General features: G+C 37.7%; 1 protein-coding gene across 1 annotated transcript in view; it reads left to right on the plus strand.

Moving 5' to 3' along the window:
* TRHDE (thyrotropin releasing hormone degrading enzyme) overlaps window positions 1-14,455 on the plus strand; it is a 583,493-nt gene that overhangs the window by 10,258 nt on the left and 558,780 nt on the right. The window contains exon 2 of the mRNA XM_017019244.2: window positions 8,125-8,229. The gene's annotated coding sequence lies outside the window, so the exon portion shown is untranslated. The remainder of the gene's footprint in view (window positions 1-8,124; window positions 8,230-14,455) is intronic.

The following is a 14,455-nucleotide window of genomic DNA, read 5'->3' on the forward strand; positions in this document are numbered from 1 at the left end:
ACTGCAGCCTCGACCTCCTGGGATCAAGAGATTCTCCCACCTCAGTCTCCTGAGTAGCTGGGACTACAGGTGTGTATCACCATGCCTGGCTAATGTTTTGATTTTTTTGTAGAGACAAGGTCTTGATATGTTGCCCAGGGTGGTCTTGAACTCTTGGCCTCAAGCAATCCTCCTGCTGCAGCCTCCCAAAGTGCTGGGATTAGAGGCGTGAGCCACTGCACCTAATCTTCATTGACTATTTTATTGTCAGCTCCAGGACCTTCACTTTCATTCCTTTTTGTGGTTTGTCACAGATTTCAGAGTTAAATACTAGAAGGTAATGCTCCATGATGAAAGGGGTTTTAGGCCTGTTACCAAATGCTTAAAAGAGTATTGGGCTGTTTGTAGACAGTCAAAAAATACTCATGGAATAAATGGTTGGGATGCACTGCATATGTTATTTTACATATGGCCTCAGCATGAATTGATAAAATGTCATGATAATGAATTCTTTTTTATTCACAATACTTTATATTTTATTTTATTTTATTTTTTATTTTTATAGAGATGAAGTCTCACTATGTCGCCCGGGCTTGTCTCAAACTCCTGAGCTCAAGCTATCCTCCTGCCTCAGCCTTCCAAAGTGCTAGAATTATAGACGTGAGCCACTGTGCTCAGCCTACATTACTTTTTATGATGAGATTCTTTATGGTTGACTGTTTAAAAATTAAACTTTTAATTTTGAAATAGTTGCAGACTTACATGAAGTTATAAGGAATAATACAGAGAGAGCTCGTGTAGTTTTTACCCTGTTTCCCCCAGTGGTCAAATCTTGCAAAACTCTAGTATAATATCACAACTAGGACCTTGAAATGCTGACATTGATGCAGTCAATCTGGATGACTTTTTAAACATTTTTTTTTTGTGGTTGTGGTAATCGTTTATGGCCACAATTTCTTCTATCCAAAGTGCATGCTCTTTGGCAATGTAACTTTGCTGTTTCTGTAATTTAGAGGCGGAATCTTTTGTTTTATTTCTTTAAATTTGGGCCAGATTTGTTTTGCTTTGACCAGTAGAATTTGGTAAAAGTTATGTTGTGTCCCATAGTCTAGGCTTCAAAAGGCCAGATACATTTTACCTCCTCCCTTGGTATGTTTTCCTGAGATCCTCTTGTACGGAAGACTGTCTAGTCACTGGAAGATGAGAGACCATGTGGAGAACCCAGCCAACAGCTAGAACCAACTGCCAGACATGTGAGTGAGGCCATCTTGCACCTCCCAGCCAGCTGACTGCCTTGCTGATGCATGAATAAGCCCAGGCAAAACTAGCAGAGGAACTGCTGAGTCAAAACCCACAGAATTGTAAGAAAGAATAAATCACTGTCTGGGCTTCGTGGCTCACGTCTGTAATTCTAGCACTTTGGGAGGCTGGCACTTTGGATCACCTGAGGCCAGGAGTTCGAGACCAACCTGGCCAACATGGTGAAACTCTGTCTCTATTAAAACTACAAAAATTTGCCGGGCATGGTGGTGGGCCCCTGTAATCCCAGCTGCTCGGGAGGCTGAGGCAGGAGAATCGCTTGAACCCGGGAGGTGGAGGTTGCAGTGAGCCAGATCACGCCACTGCACTCCAGCCTGGGCAACAGAGTGAGACTCTGTCAAGAAAAAAAAAAAGACATTGTTGCTTTAAACCATTAAATTTTTTTGCCAATCACCACTAAAAATTCCATTTGTATATATCCAAATTCAGAAGCAAACAGAGGGTAAAGTGGTGTGCTACTGTGACTGCAGTCTAACTAATTTGAATCTATTAGCCCTCCATCATTTCTATGTCAGCATAGCCTTACCATTAATTTTTAGAATACTTGTTATATTGCAGAGGGTAACTGTGACAGCAGTGTCTCACACTGAGAATCTTTAGGTATAAAGACTCAGGTTTTGTTCTTGGATTTTGATATGGTGACGAGCAGGTAAGGATTGACTATGTATAGTTTGAATTTTTTTTCCCTTAAATACATAACCTGTCAGTTGATTTCATCTTATTATGCTTCGACTCAGCTATATATCAAGAAAATCCGATGAATGCCAGCCTTCATATCTCTCTTATTAGCATGTGGAATTTTTAGTGATAATTGGCAAAGAAATATAATGGTTTCATGTAGATACAGACTCAGACTCTGTTTTTTAGGTTAATATTTATGTAGACTTAAATCTAGTGAAACAAATGTTTCAGTGGAAAAATCCACATTATCATATTTTAAGATAAGAATGGAAATCTAGAGTTCAGGCTCAAGATGGCAATTCAAAGACTCTTTACATTTTCTGAAAACCATTCAGTAGCTATCATTTTGATTTTTATGTTGATTCTAATATTAACACCAATGGTAAGTCTTTAACAAGATATGTTCTGAAAGGGTACAATGTTTCAGAAATCCCAGGAAAATATCTGGACGTGCAGAGATTTCTGTAGGTAGTAAAGATATGAATGAGCTTATATTTACTGACCCTTTACAATGTTTTTTTTCTCAGAGATATTAAAGATTCATCAAAAATACCAATGGGTAGATCTTACTTTAAATAATGGTTAGGAAATCTATCTTTAAAGTTAGATTCTCAGGGTAAAAATCTAATTATATTATTTAGACTGTAGGACCCTTGGCAGACTGCTGAATCTCCTTGTGCCTTAGTCCCTACATTTATAAAATAGGGGCAAAAATAATACTGTGTAAGGCTTTTTATGAGGATTAAATGAGAAAATGTACAATTTATACCACATAATAATTATTCAAATGTTACTTAATGCTATGCCCCCTCGTTACTTCTCAGATTGCAGCTATTATTGCACTTTATATTCCTGTTTTGGCCACTAATATGAACTGTCTTATTCCTAGCTTCTTGTTATAACTTTAGTACTCCGAACACTTAACGAAAAGCCAACAACTTGTCTAGTTTAAGCTTTTGTTACCATTAATAAATGTTTACTAGAAGGTCAGCAAAGTGTAGCATGAGAGAAGCTCCCACTGGGTCCAACCCAATCACTGTGGTGTGTTTGCTGTTGTCATAGTTATTTATCTTCTGTGGACATCCCTTCTACTTCCTCTGAGGGAGAAGATAGAGAAATAAAGATTTCTGAAAATTGCTGCTTGCTAGTCCCTTTGGGATCAGGTGAAGAATAGGACCCTTGAAATGAAAATGACCTCTCTTTCTCCTGGCTGTACTTACCTCTCCAAGACATATTTGTGATCAGGACCCAGTCATTCTACCAAAGTGAAAGGCTTGTTTCCATTTATTAAATCATTAGCTGGGTCATTGACCCCCTCACATATATGACAGGGTTATGTCAATCTGAAAATTGATGAAAGCTAAGTCCTTAACAAGATCCCTCATACTTTCCTCTGAATAGCTGTGATTCATTTTGGCTGCTAAATTCATTAGAAGGCATATTCTGGGTCTTCTGGATGCAAATAAAGCTGCATGCGATGTACCCAAATTCAGAAGTAAATGAAGGGTAAAGTGATGTGCTAGTGTGACTGCAGTCTGACTAATTTGAATCTATTTGCCCTCCATCATTTCTGTGTCAGCATAGCCTTACCAAAGTGGATTCTGTGAAGCTGATTGAATCACAGCATCTAGAAGCCTAATAAATTAGCTGCTGAAATGTAAATACTGACCTGGGGAATTTTGCATGGCTAATGAAGTTCGAAGTGCATGATTACATTATACCACTTTACCAAAACAGCCAATAAATGTTTACAAATCCATTTGATCTACTCAGGTCGTCTGCTCGAAATATAGGTGGGGTGATTATATTTCAATAATAACTTAGTTCTTCTAAGGAGAACAGCATGAAAGGAATGAAGCAGTAGACACAGAGTGAGTGGCTGCTTTGAGTCTTGGTTTCAAGGATGGCTGATGTACAATCCTTTCAAAGTTTTCTGTTTGGTGATTACAGTATCAACTCTAAGAACAAGAAGCTTTCTGCCAATAAGTCACGCAAATAGTTTTGGTTCTGGAAGGAAATTGAGGGGTGAGTGGAGAAAAGAGAACACAAATGCTTTGTGCTATGAATGCTGTATCTTTCCATCTGAAATCTGTAAATACAATATAGATTTTCCTGGCATTGCATTCGATTTGGCAGATCCTTCATTCCATTGATCTTGAAGGTAATAATATTTATCATAGTGTAATCCTTTAGTAGAAGCAAAAATGCTTCTGACTGAAGAGACATTCCAATTATTCATGTCCCTTTGTTATTGTGCTATTATCTTTATGTTTATTTTGTTTGACTGTTTTGGTAAAGACAGAACAGGCTGAGAAAAACATGAATTTGAAATGGTACAGCGTGGGTACCCTGGAAAATAGTAAATGCATGTATAATTTTTCACTTTGAATTAGAGGCAAAGTTCCTTTCTAAATCCAAAACATAATTAATTATAAAGGTAGCCTATTTTGTTTAGATCATTTAAAATTTCAAAGTGTGTTGTTAAATACATAGATTCTTTCTTTTTGCCTCTTCCTGTCTGAATCTTTGCTTAAAGCAAGGGCCTCTCGATGGAACACAGGGAATCTTTAGAAAGCAGTAATTAAGCAAAATGAACACAATTGGGAGTGTAGAGACTTGGTGCAAATTATGCTTTTCATAGCCCTCAGATATATTTAGGTATCTGGACAAGCTAAATTCACATCCCAGTGCTACACAGTGTGTGGGTGCCCTCCTACTCTGCTGCCCTTCAGATAATAGCAGGGCTTAGAGTAGGGCATTAGGAGGGTGACAGAGGGACATGCTTAAACCTATAGTCACCTCAGAGGAGCTTTCTTTCAAGCCAGACTGGTTCAGTCATACAAAGACTCTCCACACGTGGCAGAGGGATTTGGCTCCAGGACACAGAGAAATGCCAGGAATTCGATAGGTTCATTGAATACTCAAATAACTTGATTGTCTTAGATGACCTAAACCCATAGGCCTGAGTCTGCTGGGCCACCTGATTCCATATCCCAGCTTGACGCTAACCTTAACCCTAAATTTGGTTATTTATGGCATTAAGTTCCAATCTTATACTTTAACTAGTTCAGCTGATAATAGCCAGCTTATGGGTTACCAAAAAATATATATGGAGCTAGGACATCTTGGCAAAAGCTTTGGGAGTTTAAGGGGAGGAGAAGGGGAGCAACTCTGGGGAATCACTGACAATATACAACTTTCTAACCTATAACTGTTAAAATATGCCCCTGTGAAGATGAACATGAGGCTGAGAAATTAGGCAGATCCCAGTGTATCATGAATAGTCGTGGATGCACCATCTAGATTACCTTTCAAGGAAGGGCTTGTTGCCCCAGTTGGTGGGAGTGCTCTCAGAAGACACCTTGGAGGCATTGTCACAGCAGCAGAGAACCACCTGCTCACCGAAGGCCATATTCTTGGGCAGCCCGTATCCAATGGCTTAACTAGGCTTGGCCATTTTGGCCAAACACAGGACAACTAACAATCCTTGCTTGCTTCACATCTTCCTCTGACATTGACTTGCTTTGCAGTGTGACTTCTTTTTCTACTCAATCCTACTTCCTTCTTCCCAAAAGCACACCCTGTGCATGAAATTCCATCTCAGAGTCAGCGTCCCAGAGAGCCCAGTCTGAGACACAATTTGAACAATTAGGTCTCATTTGGAAATGCAGCTAAAATTTAGTGAGTTAGGATAAAAGTGTCTTGGTTTGAAAAGTAAAGAAGGAGATTAAAATCCTTAAAATCCTTTGCCAAGCTAGCTATGTTAGATCCGATATTTAGGACATTGTATCCTAAGGAAGTATCATATTAAAATATCACTAAATAATTATTATTTCAATGAATTCATTGGAAAGTCTGCCACTTAAAAGACTATTAGGAGACAGAGTTAATAAGGCCCTAACCAGGTCACAGGGAAAGGAGACCAGTATGGCATAAGGGAGCTAGGTATCAATAGCAGTAGTCATAAAAGATACGACTTACAGCATCCCTTGCTGAAGACCCTGTTATACAATTTTCATTTACTGTGAATCCTGTGGTAGGATTCTCTGTGGTTGCTCTTAGAGTCATGAGGAATAGAGGCATCTATTTTTCTGTGTTTCCACAGTCCTCATTCCTTTATTAAAGGAATATTATTTGCAAGCTGGCCTTCCCCATTACAGTATAAGTTCTTTAAGGGCAAATGGTCTTAGTTTGGGTTGCCGTGAAAGCAGACAGTGAAACAAAAATTGGAATGCAAGTAATTTCTTTTCCTTTTTCAAGGGGAGAAATACAGAAAATACTGACAGGGATGTAGAAAATAATAGTGCAAGGGAGAGGAGGCCAATAAATTGTCCATTATTAAGATGGTAATACTGAGCCGCTCCTGTGTCTCAGCATTCTGCCTCTCCAGTGTCAAAGAAATTAGAGTGTTTCCATACCCACTCCAATTAATCATTGCTTGAGAGCTGTAGAAGGCAAGGTATAGGAGGCTGAAGAGGCATAGGGAGGTGGTAATTCTCTGTGACTTCTGACCTCCATTGTCTGGAGGAGTGGTTTTCTGGAAGAATTATTCAAGCTCAGAGATGCAGATACTAGCAGATGGAAGTTGACACACACCAAATCGGTGAAGTCTGAAATATATGGGTGTGGGGAGATAAGCTTACAATGGGTGTTCAAGCATAAATTTTATTATTTACTCTTATATTTCCCTTTACCTGCACTGGGCCTGGTCCATAGCATTTGCTCAGTCGCTATTTATTAAACGCCTTAAAAATGAGACCAAGCTCAACTATGTGGTCCTTCCATGTGAGGGTCCGAGACTCTCAGCAGAGGAGAGAAGATGCATGTGTGTGGCTTGGGTCATCTCTTGCTTCTGAAAGAGAGAATAGAGAGGGTAAAGCACACTTAGACTCAGTTCTTAAAGATTAATGTAATACTTGGTTTCCTTGATAAGCTCTAAATTAAAGTTAGAAATTGCCTAGTGCAATTCACAAAGGTGCGTACACAAGAAGGGAGAAAAAAAATTCTGATTACAGTTTTATTTGCTGACACTCCTTAACAATTTATGTTCAAGTGCTATTTTGCTAATTAATGGCTGCTCAAGAAATGCCATGTGTCAGCAACGAGTCACTTACTTTTGTTGCTCTTCATTGGTATATGGATAATGAACAAGGACAAGTCACATAATTAAAGCTGAAAATAGCCTGGCTGTGGGACAGAGGCCTGTTAATAAGAAAAAGATATATTTTCCAGTATCCATGCCACACTATTAACAGTTAAACAAGTGAAAAACACAAGAGGGGACTTTATTGACATATGTAACTCAATAGCCAAGGACTTGGAACAGTGGGTAGAACTAGCTTCAGGGACATTTTGAACCAAGAAGTAGAGCATCCATATTTCCACTTCACATCTCTCATCTTTGCCTCTCTCTGTGCTCCCTTTATTTTCTCATGCTAGCTTTTCCATAGAGTTGGGACCATGGCTGTTAGCAGCTCCACGCTCACACTAATGCAGCTCAATGACAGAGAGGAGAGGGCTTTTCTTCTCCATCAAGTGTGAAGTACTTCAAGGAGGGACTAACCAGCTGTGAGAGTCAGATAGCCAAGGAAGTGGGCCTCAGACTTTAGAGCTACCATGTTTGAGGGAACATTTTGCAGAAGGGGAAGATGCTGTCAAACAGTATCAGCAGCAGTACAAGGAAGTACATGGTTAAAATTCTGGGTGAACAGTCTGCATTAAAGCTGCCATTGTAACTCAGAGAAGGTGTGGGGCATGGCTCAAGTGGTTGGGGAGGTGGGACTGGAACAGGAATTTGATTAACGGAGAGATCACAGAGAAAAGAGCATTTCAGATAAGTGATGCTAAGTGAATAAGGCATGGATTCAGGATTAAATGCAGGGCAATGGGAAGAGTGGTCTAGCCAGAGCAGAGCTGGTCTGTGTTTGGGAGTAGAAAGAAAGTGGAGGAAAAGTAAGATTATGGACAGCTGTGAATGCCAAGCATGGAAATCACAATAGAATTTTCAGCCAGAGAATAATATAATAATGGTAATAATAAAAAATACAACACTCCGGGTCAGGAATTATTTGAAGTGCTTTATATAATATTATCTCATTTAGTCCTTACAATAAGTCCATAATTACAATTATTATTATCTTACAGAAGAGAAACTGAGGCACAAGTGTTATGTGGTCAAGATCATACAGCTAATAGGTGGCAGTCTGACTCCAAGTCTGTGCTTTTCACTGCTGTGCTATGCCACTAAAGGTAATACATCTTAAAGTTTAATAACACCTGATATGTGTATAATGTTTTACACACAACAAAATACTTTATTTCATTTGAGCTTTGTAACAATCCCCTGAATTTAGTAGAGCAGTTATTTATTTCTATCTTTATTTTATTTTTGAAACCATTCAAATATACCTCTCTCTTCCTAGGCAATTTTCCTACATTCATATGGCTGGAAAGTGGTTGAGATCAGACTAGAGTTAAGAGCTCTTGAGTCATGTTAGTGTTTTTGCCTTGCTGCCTGAACATTAATGTATTGCTGGTGGATGATATCAGAATGTGGCCTGGGGAGTAACCAATGGGGAACAGATGATCAGGAGGCTGCCTGCAACATCAGAGGGTTGTGAGAGTCTGAGCTACAGTAGCACTGTTTACCTTCCAAGTCAGGAGGACATTTTTCAATTTTTAAAATTAAATTCAATGTCTCTGATTTCCTGAAAAAGTGAAACTAACCATATTCAGATTTTTCCTGAGGAAAAAATCACTTAAAATATTGAAATTGTCTACTTTAAAAGTTTAAACGTTGTAAATCTAAGATTTTATTCAATAAATGTGAAAAATACTAAAAAATTATTGTTAATTGATTTTAGTTAAAGAAAAAGGTAAATAAACAAAAGTGAAGGAAAAGGGGTGAGTTAAAAGGAAATATATACTGAGAATAACAGATATGAGAGAGAAAGACAACGAATGAGATTATATATGTATAAGAAACTAGCACAGACTGGCACATTTTATATGTGTAAATGTAGTTAAAGAAGCTCAATACATTCTTAGATGTATTTTAGCTTGCAAAGTTGAAAGTGAATAACTTTTGTAATATTGATCCCTCAGAGATCTTTTACCTGTTTGAAACCTTGACTATTTATAAATTCTACTCTTACTGTGATAGGCCAAAGAATCCGATATAGTGGATATTGCCACATTGTAAAAGCATTGATAATTTACTTATTGCCTCTATTTTCATTCACTCATTCATTCATTCATTCAACAGATATTCATTGAATATCTCCCATTTGCCATATACTATTCTAGGTGGTCCTGGTTTTTAAACAATACTCTGTGTGGTAGAGAGAAAACTTCAGGTGTGCAACCATATCCAAAATACTTTCTGATCTGTGATCTCATCAGCAACCCATAGGGTACCATCTTCAAATAACAGATGATGAATCTGAGATTTAGGCCTACAGGTTGCAACTTGAACTTCTCAACATCTGATCAGAGAAATATCACTCCAAGACTGTGTAGACTCAAGCCAAGTGCTGGAATTGGTCTTCTATTTGCATATTCCCTACTCATATTCTAAGTTTTATCTAAATGAATAGTAATGACATGTCTATTTTAATTAATTCTGTTCCTACCTTAATGTATCCATACACTTTGTTGCTTTTTAGCCAGAAGAAAATTATAAAAATTAGGCCAGGAGTAACAGTTAATTTTGGTGTAGTCCCTCAAAAATATGAAGGTCTAATAATGTGCTATCCCACAAATTCATTGGCAGCTTTGTTTTTTACTTGTCGGAAGTTCATTTCCAATTATCCTCAGACTGCTTCTCACTGATAGAAATCTGGTATCATAAAGTCTTTGGTACCAATGGGGTTTATTTTCTACCCAACGTTGAGGAGCAAAATGCAATAATCACCTAAATATATGCTAAAATATTTAGGAGCACACAAAGTGAGAGATGCCTCTGGGGTTTAGCCGTAACCTGTGACTTCATCTGCTGGATCTCTCTGTTGATTGGATGTAGGTAATTAGGTGAACTCTCTTTCTGAACTCTTTAGAATCTTCCAACAGATTGGACTGTTCTCTGTTTTCTATCTTCCACAAAGAGTTCTACATTGCTACAGCCTGGAGCTAAATCCTAAAGGTGCCCATGGCATTTGCAGACACAGAATTTTCAGCCTTCAAAGCTACTGTGGCTCTTAAATGGCTGACTTAAACTGCTGGATACCACAGAGACTCTGCAGGACTGAAAATTATCAATGGCTTTGATCATTTGCTGAGAATTTAAAATGAACTTATTACAGGGCCTGTTTAGACATTTTTTGAAATCTAATTTAGACATTTTTTGAAATTTAATGAATTGATTTATTGAAGAATACTTCACTGTTTCACATGTTGGTTTAAAGGACTGTATACTTGCTTCCCTGGAACCGTGTATTCTAATCACCCAACTAATGATGTGACCTTTTGTTTTGCCTGCTTTCCTCGGGTGTTTTTTCACAGTTCAAGTACAAATATTGCCTGTATTTCAAATATAAAAATTATGGCTTCCTAATAAAATGCTAGGGACAGCCAGGAGAAGGCATAGCACTAAAATCCAAACCAGCCAATTCTGGGAAGTGGTCTTGTTTCACACCAATAAGTGAGAAAAGCAAGCATGACTTGCTCAGAAAAACAAGAATCATTAAAAGTGATATTGTTGATTGTAGGGCAGCAAAACTGCTTTTTATGCAAATAGATGGATTTGTAAGAACTAGGTTAGTTAAGGAGTAGATAGGCTGAATTTTGTTGTTGTGGTGAATACTGAAACTATCAGAAGAACAGTTCTTACCCCTCATCCAGAATAGAAGAAATAGGAAGATATATGAATGATTTTCAGTTTTTACATATGTTGACAGAATAGTTATAATATAATATGATAGATATTACAAACTCAGAACACTGATACATATATTTTTTCAGGCTAACATCATCCTGTTTGCAAAATGGACAGATGCTGTTTATTTTTGCAAGTAGTCAACTAAGCTAATGTGAGTGCCAGCTTCTTCTTCGATGTTTCAGCTTTAAGAAAGTTGCATTAATGGAGGGCAATTATGGTAATTTGAATTAGAAATGGAATTATGGTAATTGAAAACTTCTGCAGTGACAGGTATTTGCGAGAACCTGGTGTTCTGGTGCAGTTCAGAACTGCTATTAAACCCATGGTAATTAGCATTTTCGCCCCTGAAATGGTTGAAAGAATACGGGAACATAAAACAAAATTTGACAGTATGAGAAGGGAACTGGCAACAATATCAAAACCTACAGTCAACACAAAGAAACACAAACACACGAATGGTCTTAGACTTTTTAAAAATAGAGAATCAGAAGAAAATCACAGCTTTGTGTAGGCCACTGGGGAGGGAAGCATTTGTGTTATAGGTCTGCAATATAGAGCCATTTGCAACAGAAAGATGAAGCAAAGAAAGCCATTCTTGTTTTCTGGCTTCATTTCCAAATCAATTGTTGCAGAGAGGTCCATAGGTCCCCACAACACAAAGCATTAGAAAGCTACAACAAAATTAGATGAATCACTCCACAATTATCATGTAGTCATTCAACAAATGTTTGTTGATTGCCTACTATGTGCTAGGCAATTTGTCAGGTGCTAGTGGTGTGATGAAGACTGGGTTCCTGCCCTCACAGAGATGCTGCAGTAGAGTAGAGTAAGAATTGACATCAATTTGGCCCACCTTAAAGATAGGAATATATCCTGTTACGTCTAAAGCTTATACTCTTAGCCTCTCTCATACTATAAAAGATGCTATTTTTGCTCTTAATCTCTTAAGCTTTCTTTTTGTCTTTGTGATTTCTCCTGAGGTTTCTAAGGATAGTCAAAGAAAAGAGTGTCTATAAATTAGTATATGCTTGGCTGCATATAACAGAATACCTGACTAAAAATATATATGCGACTTAACTAATATCACATAATAAGTAAGAAATTCTAGAGTTAGTATAGCAGGTCAATGGTATCACTAACAACTAGGCTCCTACTGTTTCCGACTGCTATTTTCTCTATGGTGGCACTTTCTCTAGTGGTGACAAAATGGCTGTCAAAGCTTTAAGTTAATGTCTTTACACAACAATGTTTTAAACAAAACAAAACAAAAGGTGAAAGGAAAAAATACCTTCCCCCTCATTTCTAGGGGAGATATTTTCCCCCAAAATCACTAGGAGACTTCTCCTTATATTTGTGGAAACTGCGTTATATGTCTACTCTTAGAACTTTAATTGGTGAACTGGAATGGGATTGGCATGACTGGTTTAGATAAATTGTTACTCATTGCCTGTGGCTGAGCACATTCCCTTTCTATGAAAATTGGGCTTTACTTAGCAGGAAAAGAGGGAAATGGCTTTGGTTACACAGGCATCTCTGTGCAGTCAGAGATGATGGAAAAGTCTGTAGGTACTTTCCTTCGAATTATACATGTGTAATTTTTCCTCTTGGGTCAAATAATTTTTGAAACATCTCTCTGTTAAAATGCAAATGCTTCTGGGAAAGCCATCACATCACGTTCCTAATGCCTCAGTCTGTTGGATACACTTTAATAAGAGAAAATGGGACACTATCACTGGGAATCTGCAAGTTTAAGATGAGGTTAACAAAATAGGAAAACCATGTAGAAATGTGGGATTGGGAGTGCTGAGGACACATTTTCCCTATATAATAATTTTACTAAACTTTTGTGTAAAACTTGATTACTCCAAGCGAGGTCATGTATATTGACACCTTTTATCTGTAGAGTGCTTTATCCTGTGGGCATTTCATTCCTACAACAGTCAGGTGAGATAAGGCCTCCCTTTACAAGTGAGGAAGACAAGGTACAGAGAGTTTAAATAACATGTGGATTGAACCTGCTCAGGTCTGATGTCAAAATTCACCTTTTTTTTTTAATTGCCCCACATTTCTTCTCAAAGACCAGCATAGAAGGAAAGTCATTTGAATCTGAGGATATGGTTTATTAGAGTTTTCTGTCTGTTGTGAATTTCTTTGTTATTCAACGCTAATTTCTACATAACATACCTCTATCCCAGCCAGAGTACAAACACATTGGGGAAAAAATTTTAAACTTTATCGAATATCTTAGATTAAATAACACTAGGTTCTTTTGATAAGATATTAGGTAATTAATATTCTGACTCTAGGTGATGCCATGATTGCTGTTCTACAATGATTTATTCCATATGAACTGTGGGTAGGAGATTTTACATTGAGCAGAGTTGTTTCAATATAGACAGAGGAAAGAAATAGTGATCTATAACTCTAGCAGAAACTGTTGTTTTGTAAACGAGCCTAAATGGCCAAGTAAAGATTTGTGTTATTGTTTTAATGGGAGGAAATGATGAAAAATAGAGTACAATTCCGATGTGCTCAAATGAGAACCATGCCCTATTAAGTTGGCAAGTACAAGTATGTCTCTTTTCCTGTCACTCTCAGGCAATCTATGTTTGTGAAATGTGTCGTATAGACTCTAGTTCAGCAGAGGGTAATTGACCAAGTCAACTTCGCCAGTCGGTGCTTGTCATTACCAGCTATAATTCCATGTCCCCTGTGAGGAATCTGAGGCACACTTTAGTTACTGGAGTCCCTCTTTAAGAGAAAAAATGTTTTCTGGCTGTTGAACGTTAACTCATGTTTCAGATGTGATTGAAACAACGCAGTAGTCCATTTCAGAGAGCAGGAACACTGGTTCTATTGATAATCTGATTTCCTTATCCTGATGATGTATGTTAGATACATGAGTTTGTGTGTATTTGACAGCCCCTGGTGATAAAGGACTGTAAGCAAAAGGAGAATCTGTGTGTTAACTGTTTCTACTCAGTTTCTCATACTATTTAACAAGCAAACATACAAAAAGGCAAACCTTCCCTCAGTAGTTTAGAAAGGCTACTTATTTTCTTTATAAGTAGAAAGTGGAATGAAACAGCTCATTGTACTGGAAACAAAATCCCATTTGGGACTATGAAAGAACAATTTGACAATTATCTCCCTAGTTCTAAGGTCTGAGGGAGAGAAATGACAACATTTTATTATAAAGCACTTTTAATTGAAGTAATTAGAAGCAAGAATGCTTGTTCAGGCTGAAAGATTGTCAGAAGGGAAATAGATTTCTGGTCCAGTTTGCTGATTTTGGAGGCTCTTGATGAACTTTTGTGATAATAATTAACATAATACTTCTGAGGCATTTTTAGCCTTACCAAAAATTATTTTTCTCTGCCTCATTCTTCTTTCAGATGAAATAATAATGTTTAGCACTTAGCCGGCATCTTTCATTCAGATGGGTCCCCTGGTTCTTAAACAATTTTTCTCTCTCTACATGTGTGAATATGTGTCTACACAGAGTCATTTTAGCAATTGCCAAAATTTTCAGCAATCCCACTGGGTAGCACGTTGCAGCTGTTCAGTATTATCCAGCAAAGCTACAGTGTTTGGTTGGGG

Source organism: Homo sapiens, chromosome 12 (genome assembly GCF_000001405.40).
Source record: "Homo sapiens chromosome 12, GRCh38.p14 Primary Assembly".
In the NCBI taxonomy this organism is placed as follows: domain Eukaryota; kingdom Metazoa; phylum Chordata; class Mammalia; order Primates; family Hominidae; genus Homo; species Homo sapiens.